Genomic DNA, 12286 nt, shown 5'->3' with positions numbered 1-12286 from the left:
CACTGAGACGGAAGCTCGGCTTTTGTGCAGTCCAGCAGTACAGAGAAACAGCAACCCAAAGTGTTGGGTTGGGGTTGCTTCTTCCCAGAGACCAAAGCATACCACCTCCTCCGCTATCCTAGTGTGGGAAGGAGGGTCAGGATGCACATGCATCAAGCACCCAGTGCCCAGCAATCACTACCACAGGCAGCAGGGAGATGAGGCAGAAAGGGTGAGGAAAGTAGCAGTTGGAATGTGTGTGTGCAGAAAAGCTACTAACCCTCTTATTTCAGCCACAGTTAGCTCACTGCAAGCAACAGAAATCCACTCTGGGAAACCTAAGCCAAAAGGAAGATAAACTGAAGAACCAGAAGACAGAAAGGGAAGAAGGGGGATGGTGGCAGAAGGTACTTTGTGGGAGAGATGGATCTTTCTCAAACCTTTTATCCCTGCCTGTTATTTAATCATGATTGGGTTCTTTGGGAAGAGGGTACGGCTGGCCAGGGGAGAGCAGGATACCGTGAGTGGTAGCTTCCAGGCATCTGTCTACCAACACAGGGGAAGGAAGCACGTCCCTCAAAGAAAGCCAGGATGCTGGCACCAGAAAAAGGGCGAAGGATGCTGAGCATGGGGAGGACAGAGATGTCTCTTCTCTCTTTGGGACTGTATCTTGTCACCTGTAAAATGGGGGAAAACTGTGGCTACATTGTGAAAATTTAATGAGATAAAACAGCACAGTGTGGCTTATGGGAAGTCCCTAATATATAATAATTTTAAATAATTGTAGCTAAATAATTTTAGCTTATCATCTTAATTTTTGATTCAGCTCTCTCTGAATTTTACATCCTAGCACAGATCAATGATCTTGCAACTCCAACCACACCATTTTGCAATTCTGAACCTCTACCTAGAGAAAGCAGTGGATCTTTATACATTCGACACAGCCCTTCCCTCTAGAGTAATAAAAAATAAACCTAGTTTTGCATAAGTCTTTTTCTGTAGGCTGGGTCTCTGGAGTAAGTGAACCCCATGGCCAATCCATCTGAAGTCAAGGTTAATAGGGCCGTGATACTAAAGATGTGGTATTAAAGATCTCCTTCTGGTACCGCATTCTTTATGATGCATGGCCAATTACCCACTAAGGAAGATACTGCAGCCGTAGCAATTTTATCCCAAAAGCATGTCATTTTATTTTTATTCCCACTGACAAGCACATACCTCTTTAAATAAAAAAAAAAAGAAAACGAAAGTGACTATTGCTCAAACTTACATTTTGCCCACACATTTTTCAACTCTTGGGATTGTATATTCCAGTCCGGATATGGGCACTAACCAAGCCTTTCCTGATGGATGGGCTTGGCTGTTTTCTCCATGGTTTCTTGGCTCAAATTTTTGGCAAATTACATGTTTTTGCTTAGTTTTTGGGCAAAACTAGATGTTTCTGTGGCTTTGCAGTTTTTCTCCACCAAAAGCATGAAATTTGACCAATTATTTACTGATAGAGTTATGGAAAGATGAAGCTGTGGCAGATTTCAAGTTTCAAAATCCATCTCTGGTTAATTTGTTTGAAATAATTGACTATAGGATATGGTAGATATCAATTATATGACAAACCTTTTAGGTTTTGTTTAATGTTAAAAATAAAGTGATAATGCTGGCCTTAGCATATTAATTAATGACTTTCGTTTTCATCCTAAGAACAATGGGAGCACATTAATCTTTGGCAGAAGATAAAGTGACCAGATTTGTGTTTTAACAGGTCTCTGTAGCTATTGAAAATGGACTGGAGAAGACGAATTGGAGTGAGAAGAGAGTGACAGAATCAGATAAAAATGTGCCATGTTACTATGAGCAGGAGATGAGGCAGCCTCAACCAATATGGTGCAGAGAGAAGAAAATCACTTGAGAGAATGGATTAAACTGGGTGGTTAGCAAAGAGAACTGAATCGAAAATTATGATAGTAAGCTAAATAATTTTACACACAAAAAGGCAGAGTTGCATTCACAATTAGTCTCTTCAGACTGAATATTACAGCCAAATTATAACAATTGGTGTTGCAATCACTTCCCTTGGGTTTGTATCCAAGGTTAAGAATGTCAGCATCCAGAGGTCCAAATTCTTCTTCTTTTTTTTTTTTTTTTTTTGAGAGGCCCAGAGGCCCAAATTCTTAATGTTTTTAGATGATAAAGTTTATTCAAGGTAGACTGTCTGTGTTGAATAATTTAGCCTCTTACAAATTTCAAGAAAAAATCTATTGTCCCTCTTCTCCACCACAGACACACTTTAATTGAACATTAAGCATATTTATTAAAGAAACATTCTCTTTTGCTTTTTCTCCCAAGAGAGATGGTGTTCTTACTCAGAGTTATAAGTGTCAGAATAAAGAATGCCCATGAGGTTGAATTGTATGATGCTACGGTAAAGTGAAATAAACATTCTCAAAAACATGATTATGACTTACAAACAAACAAACAAAAACCAACAAACAACTTTCTGTCGAGGAATTACGCTTTTGGGACAGAAACTTTCCTTTAAATTTGAACAGCTGCATGCCGACAAAGAATATGAAAAAGGCACAACACACCGATTATGAAAACATGACTACACTTTAAGAGAACACAGAATTTTTCAGATCCATCTTAAATCTCAGGAGTTCTAGACCGAGACAGGAATGAGTGCTCTTGTTGCTAAAATCACTCTGATGTGCTTCTTGTTAAACAATTCACTCAGCAACATTACAGATTAGCACACACACACAAAAATTGTTTGTAGGTGAAAAATTGTTTGGAAAAGGACACCTTATTAGCCATGTTATCTACTTACAAATAAAAGCCGATTTTTGGCTCTCCTGAATGAAAAGAAGGGTAATTGGAGGATATCTGGGGCTTACTAACTTGATTTTAGGCCAGGGGTGTCCCAGAATCAGGGAGCTCCTGAAGAGGGGCCTTGTCATAGGAACTACCTGATCTGAGCTTCTCCTCAGTCCGAGATGTACCAAGGCCACTGCTTGCCCCGTGTTTACAGGATTCAGAGTCTTCAGGGAAAGTTGAGCCCAAGTGGTAGAGTCTTCTTCCCCAGCTGTGTTCTCACCTCCCAAAGCCCCACACAATGGAAAATCCCTCAAGAGGAGGCAGTCACAGAGAGAAGTGGAGGCCAGGTGGCCTCCAAATGATCAATGTCATACAGGGCTCCTGTCTGCTCTACGGCCACCTCTCAAGTTGTTCTTTCCTAGGTTCCTTCTTAAATTTGATAGATTTATCCAAAACAGGTATGAATTCAGATCCTACCAATTTAATATTGCAAGAACTCACCCAGGGGAAGGAATAGAGCTTAACAGTAATGTTGAAAAAGAAAAAGGAAATTTTTAATAAACAAAAGGTATCAATAAAATGGAGGACTCTTTATCTACTTAATTAACTGTTTGGTGACCCTGATGAATTTAATGATACTCAAACCACCTAAGTAAGTGAGCTACTGGGACTGAAATTTTGGCTCTCTCTCTCTCTTTCTTTTTTTTAGAGAGGGTCTTGCTCTGTCATCCAGGCTGGAGTGCAGTGACATGATCAAATCTCACTGCAGCCTCCAAATCTCAGGCTCCAGCAATCCTCTCATCTCAGCCTCTCAGATAGTCAGGACTACAGGTACATGCCACCATATCTGGCAATTTTTTAATTTTTATTTTTTGTAGAGACAGGGGCTCACTGTGTTGCCCTGGCTCAAACTTCTAGCCTCAAGTTATCTTTCCATCACAGTCACCCATAGTACTGGGATTACTGGCACGATCCCCTGTGCCTGGCCTTTCTTTGTTAAAATTCGCCTCTAAGTGGCAGCCCTTGAAATGTATTTCTAAACTGCTGTGAACAATTAAGTTTGATTTTTTTAAAAAAGTAAGAAGAAACCCGATTATTCAGACCTTGCACTAATTCAGGCTTTCCTTCCTACCAACCAGCCCCTTTTAAGATGGTCTCATGAGTTATTAGCATCTTCATCAATGTGTCAACAAGAATGACTACCTACATCTGCACAACAGTTTTCAAGATATTTCCATGGTTATTATTCTCTTATCTGGCCCCACCCACATCCTGCTGATTGGTCCATTTTAGAGAGAGCCGATTGGTCTGTTTTACAGAGCGCTGAATGGTCTGTTTTGACAGGGTGCTGACTGGTGCATTTACAATCCCTGAGCTAGACAAAGAGGTTCTCCACATCCCCACTAGATTAGCTACATAGAGAGTGTCGATTGGTGTATTTACAAATCCTGAGCTAGACACAGAGTGCTGATTGGTGCATTTACAAACCTTGAGCTAGATACAGGGAGCCAACTGGTGCATTCACAATCCCTTAGCTAGACATAAAGATTCCCCAAGTCCCCACCAGATTAGCTAGACACAGAGCTCTGATTGCTACACTTACAAACCTTTAGCTAGACACAGAGTGCTGACTGGTGCATTCACAATCCCTTAGCTTGACATAAAGGTTCTCCAAGTCCCCACTAGATTAGCTAGATACAGAGTGCCAATTGGTGCATCCACTAACCCTGAGCTAGACACAGTGTGCTGATTGGTGTGTTTACAAACCTTGAGCTAGATACAGAGTGCTGATTGGTGTATTCACAATCCCTTAGCTAGACATAAAGATTCTCCAAGTCCCCACCAGATTAGCCAGATACAGAGTGCCGGTTGGTACATCCACAAATCCTGAGCTAGACAGAGGGTGCTGATTGGTGTGTTCACAAACCTTGAGCTAGATACAGAGTGCTGATTGGTGTATTCACAATCCCTTAGCTAGACATAAAGACTCTCCAAGTCCCCACCAGATTAGCTAGATACAGAGTGCCGGTTGGTGCATCCACAAACCCTGAGCTAGACACAGGGCGCTGATTGGTGTGTTCACAAACCTTGAGCTAGACACAGCGTGCTGATTGGTGCACTCACAATCCCTTAGCTAGACACAGAGGTTCTCCAAGTCCCCACTAGACTCAGGAGCCCAGCTGGCCTCACCCAGTGGATCTTATACCAGGGCCACAGGTGGAGCTGCCCGCCAGTCACTCACCGTGCGCCTGCACTCCTCAGCCCTTGGGCGGCCGATGGGACCAGGCACCATGGAGTAGGGGGTGGCGCTCGTCCAGGAGGCTCAGGCCATGCAGGAGCCCATGGCGGTTGGGGGAGACTCAGGCATGGTGGGCTGCAGGTCCCAAGCCCTGCCCCGTGGGGAGGCAGCTAAGGCCGGGTGAGAAATCCAGCACAGCGCTGGTGGGTCAGCACTGCTGGGGGACCCGGCACACCCTCTGCAGCTGCTGGCCTGGGTACTAAGTCCCTCACTGCCTGGGGCTGGCAGGGCTGGCCGGCCACTGCAAGTGCAGGGATCAGCAAGCCCACACCCACCCAGAACTCTAGCTGGCCCACAAGCACTGCACGCAGCCCTGGCTCCCACCCCTGCCTCTCCCTCCACACCTCCCCGCAAGCTGAGGGAGCTGGCTCCGGCCTCGGCCAGCCCACACAAGGGCTCCCATGGTGCAGTGGAAGGCTGAAGGGCTCCTCAAGCATGGCCAGAATGGGCGCTGAGGCTGAGGAGGCACCGAGAGTGAGCCAGGGCTGTCAGCATGCTGTCACCTCTCAATCCCCCCTGGCAGTTTTGGAGAGTCACTGCTGCCAAAGAGTCTATTTGGGATTATAAAGTAAGAACAGATTTCGCTATTTCTTGCAAACTGTCTGAGATATCCTTGGAGAGTGTGTGGTAGTAGGATAATGAAGTAGATAAACCACATATTCTGGTTCCTGTAGCCATAGCCATTCCTAACCCTTTAAGGAGGGGTATTAGTTGTATGGCTCTGCACTGACAGACTTGAGCTTTGAGGGGTACTGATAAGGTCTGATTTCCTGGGGCAATGATAATGTTGGGACTTAGACTAAGGTGCAGGTGCCTGTCAAGTTAGTGGGGAGGCAGATACAGGTCGTTGTTCCACATAAGAAGAATCTGCCTTGTCTGGGTAGACAGAACTTAACCCTGGCTTTTAAAGGAATAGTGTACACTGTTTTTTTTTCTTTACTATTTCTTTCTCTCTCTTTCTCTCTTCAACTCCTTCTTTGTCTCTTCCTCTCTTTTTAACTCTCTCTTTGACTTTCTGTGTCTGTCCCTCTTTCTCTCTGACTCCTTCTCTTTGTCCCTCTGTTCCTTCCTCTCTCTCTCTCTTTCTCTGACTTTCTTTTTCTCTCCTTCTTGCTGGTCTTTCCCTACCTCTGCCAGTCACTCATGCTGCTGTTCTCCCCTCTTCTTCCCATTTTGATGGCTTTGGCAGTGTAAGAGTGCCACCTACTTGTGTTTTTGCATTGCATGCAATAATTCTATAATTTCCTTGTGGCATTTAACAGGGGTTCCCCCAGAGGTTAGGAACTCCCTCTCTTTCCATATTGCAGCATGGGCATGTAGGATTAGATAAGCATATTTGCTATCTGTATACACATTTATTCTTTTTCCCTTTCCCAGTTCTAAGGCTCGGGTAAGTGCCACTAGTGCTGCTAACTGGGCACTGGTCCCTGGGGGAAGAGGCTTACTTTCAAGTATGGATACATCACTAACTATGGCATAACCTGCCCTTCGTATCCCATTCTCCATAAATGAACTTCCGTCGGTATATAGGTTAAGGTCAGGATTAGTTAAAGGGACTTCTAAGAGATCATCTCAGGCGGCAAAAGTCTGGACTATAATTTGTTGGCAGTCATGCTCGATTGGTTCCCCATCCTCTGGGAGAAAAGTGGCAGGGTTGAGGGCCATGCACATGAGTATTTGAAGCGCCAGTCCCTCAAGGAGTAGCACCTGGTATCTAAGTAGGTGGTTGTCTGATAGCCACAAACTTCCTTTGGCACCTAGTATGCCATTTACATCATGAGTAGTCCAGACAGTGAGATCCTTTCCTTGTATTATTTTGATAGCCTCTGACACTAAGACGGCCACTGCTGCAGCTACCCTTAAACAGTGAGGGCAGCCTTTTGCTACTACATCAATTTCCTTACCTAGGTATGCCCCTGGTTGTGGGGTTGTCCCACGAGTCTGAGTAATGACTCCAAGAGCTATCCTAGCTCTCTTTGTGAAGTATAAAGAGAAGTTTTGTCCTGTGGGAAGGCTTAAAGCTGGAGCTTCTACTAGGGCCTGCTTTAAGGTTTTGAAGGCTGTTTCTGCCTCTGGTTCCCATTCTACTAGATGAGTATTTGCCTTCTGGGTTTCCTTGATTAGAGTATAGAGGGGCCTGGCTATCTTGTTGCATCTGGGGATCCACAGTCGGCAAAAGCCAGTAATTCCAAGGAACCCCGCAACTGTTTTAATGTTTTAGGGTGGGGATAAGCCAGTAGAGGCTGTATTCATTCCTTGCTGAGGGCCCTGGTCCCTCTGGCTAAGATTAGGCCTAGATATTTGACCTGCTCTAGGCAAAGCTGGGCCTTCGACCTAGACACCTTGTACCCTTGATTAGCTAGAAAGTTCAAGAGATCTAGAGTAGCCTGCTGGCATGAGGCTTCCAAACTGGTAGCCAAAATAAATCATCCACATACCAAAGGACCAGAGTGCCTGGACTTGAGAAGTGGCCAAGATCTTGGGCCAGTGCCTGATCAAACAGGTGAGGGCTATCCCTAAACCCTTGGGGCAAGACCGTCCATGTTAAGTTGGGACATGTGGTTTGTGGGATCCTCAAAGGCAAAGAGGAACTGGGAGTCAGAGTGCAGGGGAATACAGAAGAAGGCATCCTTGAGGTCCAGAAGCATGAACCATTTTGCTTCCTCTGGTATTTGAGAGCAGGGTATCGGGGTTGGGTACAACTGGATATAGAGGAATTACTGCCTCATTGATGAGTCTAAGATCTTGCACTAGTCTCCACTGACCGTTTGCTTTTCCTACTCCTAGGATTGGGGTGTTGCAGGGATGGCTGCATTTCCTTACTGAGCCTTGAGCTTTCAAATGTTTAACAATATTCTGTAGCCCTTTATTAGCTTCAGGCCTTAAGGGATAGTCTTTGATAAGGAAAAGTGGTGGGATCTTTTAAACTGATTTGGACTGGGTGGGCATTTTTTGCCCTTCCAAATTGTCCTTCCAATGCCCAGACTTCAGGGTTGATTCCCTCCTCAAGTAGGGGACAACAAATGGGTAAGTTCTTCCCCATATTCATGTAGATAATAGCTCCAGCCTTGGCTAATATACCCCTCCCTAATAAGGGTGTGGGACTTTCAGGCATAACAAGAAAGGGATGTGAAAAGACCAAAGTCTCCCAATTACAACTCAGGAGGTGGGAGAAATACCTGGTAACAGGTTGTCCCAGGATTCCTCAGATGGTAACGGACCTTGAGGACAGTCGTCCAGGACCAGAGATTAACACTGAGAATGCCGCACCAGTGTCCAGGATGAAGTCAATTTCCGGGCCCTCAATAGTTAAACATACCCGGGGCTCAGTGTGGGTGATGGCATGAGCTGGTGCTTGCCCGGGGCACCCTCAGTCCTGTTGTTGGATTATCTGGTTGGGGGCTTCTGACCCAGGAAAACTTCATCCTCTGGGGCAGTGCACCTTCCAGTGATTGTCTCAGTGTAGTGGACATGGACGAGGGGGCAGCTTGTTTCTCATTGGACAATCTTTTTTAACGTGTCCTAGTAAGCCACACTGATAACAAGCCCTACCAGGTGATTGGACTGCTCCATTTTCTGTCCTCTCTGAATCACCAAGGTTTGTTTATCTCAGGGCCAGGACTAAGGCTGCAGCCTTTCTCTGACCTCGCTTTTCCTTTTGGGCCTGTTCCTCTTGGTCCCTATTATAGAACGACGAGGTTTGCCAGGTTTAATAATGCCTCTAGATTTTGTTCAGGGCCCAGGGCTTGCTTTTGGAGCTTTCTCCTGATAGCTGTGGCTGATTGGGTAATAAATTTATCTTTTAGAATCAATTGACCCTCGAGGGATTCAGGCGAGAGGGGAGTATATATTCTTAAGACCTCTCGTAGCTGCTCGAGGAAGGCAGAAGGATTTTATTCCTTTCCCTGTGTTATGGTGGACATCACTGAATAATTCATGGGCTTTTTTCTAATCCTCCGTAGTCCCTCTAGAACACAGGTCAACAGATGTTTACAACTCCAGTCCCCATGATCTGAGTCAAGGTCCCAGTGGGGATCCATACTGGGGATGGCTTGCTGACCAGTAGGGAATTTGTGCCTTTCTTCAGCTGTCATTCTATCATTTACTGACTAAGATACCAGGTATCTCCAAACTCTCAGGCTGCAGCTAAAGCCACATTCTTTTCATTAAAGACCAGGGTTTGATCTAAGAGTAGCATGACATCTCTCCAAGCGAGGTCAAAGGTTTGCCCTAGACCCTGTAGGACATCTACGTACCTATCAGGATCATCTGAAAACTTCCCCAGGTCTGCCTTGATCTGCTTTAAATCAGAGAGGGAGAAGGGGACATGCACCTGGGTTGGGCCAAGTTCTCTGCCCCCTACAGCTTGAAGGGGACATAACCGATTGCCTGGGGGGCGGGTTGTGGTCCTCTGGAGATTTCTTTGCTTATTTCCTTCTGGGCAGGGGAGATTAGAGGAGGATTATCATTCATAGGAAGGGGAGCTATAGGGAGGCTAGGATATGGGGGTAAGCTGAGAGGTCCTCCTGTGGGATGTAAATTGTAAGCTTTGCATAGTTGTGTATTCTCCCTCAATGAAAAGAAAGCTTGGACATAAGGTATTTCACTCCATTTGCCTTCCCTCTTACAGAAAAGGTCAGGATGCAGGATAGTATTGTAATTTCTACTTCCCTCACGTGGCCATTTTTCCCCATCAAAGAGGGAATATTGGGACCAAGCCGTAGTGCAGAAAAAAAATGAGCCACCTCTTTTTCAGGGTTTGTGGGTTAAATTGGTCCCAATGGTTTAGCATGCATTTCAAGGGTGAGCCTGTTGATGCCTGAGTGTTTCCCATCTGAAAGACAAAACCGCCTGCGGTTTTGGTTTGTTTTGTTTCTCCCCCTGCCCTAGAACCCGCAACGGTCCCTGGACCCTGCTGATCAGAATAGTTGCACTCACCAACGCATCAGCAGAAACAACCCCTGCCCAGGAACCCACAATGGTCCCTGGACCCTGCTGGTCAGAATAGTTGTGCTCACCGACGCTGCAGCGGAAACACTAGCTTTCCTTCCAGACCACATGGAGGACTGAGGAAGGTCGGTCCTTACCGATGCATTCTCAAAAACCTGCACCCTTGCCTGTCCTCCTAGACCACAAAGAGGACAGACTGAGAAAAATCGGATTTAGTGGCCCTTACCGACACATTCTTAAAAACCTGTTAGAGTCCTAAGCATTCACCTTTTAGTGTTGGGACTTTACCCCTGTCCTATACAGATGTTATGCCCCAAAAATGAAGTGGAGGGCCATACCCTGAGGGAGGGAGGGGATCTCCAGGGTGGAAGAGTGACACATTTTGTCCTCACTTACATGAATAGGAAGGATACAATTTCTGAGGCTCCCCATATCCTAGCTTCAGGAATAGTTTTTGTTAGGCCTATTAGTCGGAGGAGGGATCCTAAAATTCCAGGTAGTCCCCACTACGACAGGGCTTTGGGCAAAAGTTATGTCTTTCTGATTGGTGAGCCCAGGTGCCTGAAGAAAGTAACAGAGTCCTGGACTTTATACTAGAAATCATTCTTATAGGAGAAACTAGAAAAGCACCAGAGACAGGTAACAATTTTTAGAAGGAGGACTAACCTCAGAGAAGAGAGTCAAGAGGAAGTTTGTGTGGCAAGCATTTGGACACAGAGGGCAAGGGTCAGGGATAGATAAGATAGATGGGTGAGTCTCGCTTGGGCGACATGCCTTTGAGAGTTCCACTCATGGCCGTAGGGTCAACCAACGTGTTGTCGGGACCCCGGAGCTGAATGGCTTTCCTCTCTGTTGACCCTCGGCTGAGCCCAGAAGTACAGGAAAAGCAGAAGCTTGTTCTAGGCAAACCAACGCTCCCAACTCCGAAGAGCTGGGGGTTGTTAGAGAGCCCATTTCCAGAAAGCCTGACACCCGTGTCTTTAGTCCGGTGGCCACACTAGTCGCTTTTAGCTGGCCGACAGGTGCCCGATATTTAACCCCCGAATTCTAAGGAAAATAGGATAGAATAGCAAGTGAAAGGGGTCTGATGGTACTCACTGCTTGGTGACAGGCGACAGTCTCACCGCTTGGCGATAGTCCCTTCGTGGTCACCAAAATGTGTCCGGAATTGGTGGGTTCTTGGTCTCACTGACTTCAAGAATGAAGCCGTGGACCCTTGTGGTGAGTGTTACAGTTCTTAAAGGCAGCATGTCCGGAGATTTTCCCTTCTGGTGTGCGGATGTGTTTGGAGTTTCTTCCTTCTGGTGGGTTTGTGGTCTCGCTGGCTGATGAGTGAAGCTGCAGACTTTCGCGGTGAGTGTTACAGCACTTAAGGCAGCACGTCTGGAGTTGTTCGTTCCTCCCAGTGGGTTCATGGTCTCGCTGGCTTCAGGAGTGAAGCTCCAGACCTTTGCAGTGAGTGTCACAGCTCATAAAGGCAGTGTGGACCCAAAGAGTGAGCAGTAGCAAGATTTATTGCAAAGAGCAAAAGAACAAAGCTTCCACAGAGTGGAAGGGGACCCGAGCAGGTTGCCACTGTGGGCTCAGGCAGCCTGCTTTTATTCTGTTATCTGACCCCACCCACATCCTGCTGATTGGTCCATTTTAGAGAGAGCCGATTGGTCTGTTTTACAGAGAGCCAATTGGTCTGTTTTACAGAGAGCTGATTGGTCTGTTTTGACAGGGTGCCGATTGGTGCATTTACAATCCCTGAGCTAGACGCAAATGTTCTCCACCTCCCCACTAGATTAGCTAGATACAGAGTGTCGATTGGTGTATTTACAAACCCTGAGCTAGACACAGAGTGCTGATTGGTGCATTTACAAACCTTGAGCTAGATACAGAGTGCCGACTGGTGCATTCACAATCCCTTAGCTAGACATAAAGATTTTCCAAGTCCCCACCAGATTAGCTAGATACAGAGCTCTGATTTGGTGCATTTACAAACCTTGAGCTAGACACAGAGTGTGGACTGGTGCAGTCACAATCCCTTAGCTGGACATAAAGATGCTCCAAGTCCCCACCAGATTAGCTAGATACAGAGTGTCGGTTGGTGCATCCACAAACCCTGAGCTAGACAAAGGGTGCTGACTGGTGTGTTCACAAACCTTGAGCTAGACACAGAGTGCTCATTGGTGCACTCACAATCCCTTAGCTAGACACAAAGGTTCTCCAAGTCCCCACTAGATTCAGGAGCCCAGCTGGCCT

The sequence above is a fragment of the Homo sapiens genome, chromosome Y, assembly GCF_000001405.40.
Source record: "Homo sapiens chromosome Y, GRCh38.p14 Primary Assembly".
NCBI lineage: Eukaryota > Metazoa > Chordata > Mammalia > Primates > Hominidae > Homo > Homo sapiens.
The sequence above is the reverse complement of the archived record's forward strand: the minus strand, read 5'-3'. Positions refer to the sequence as shown.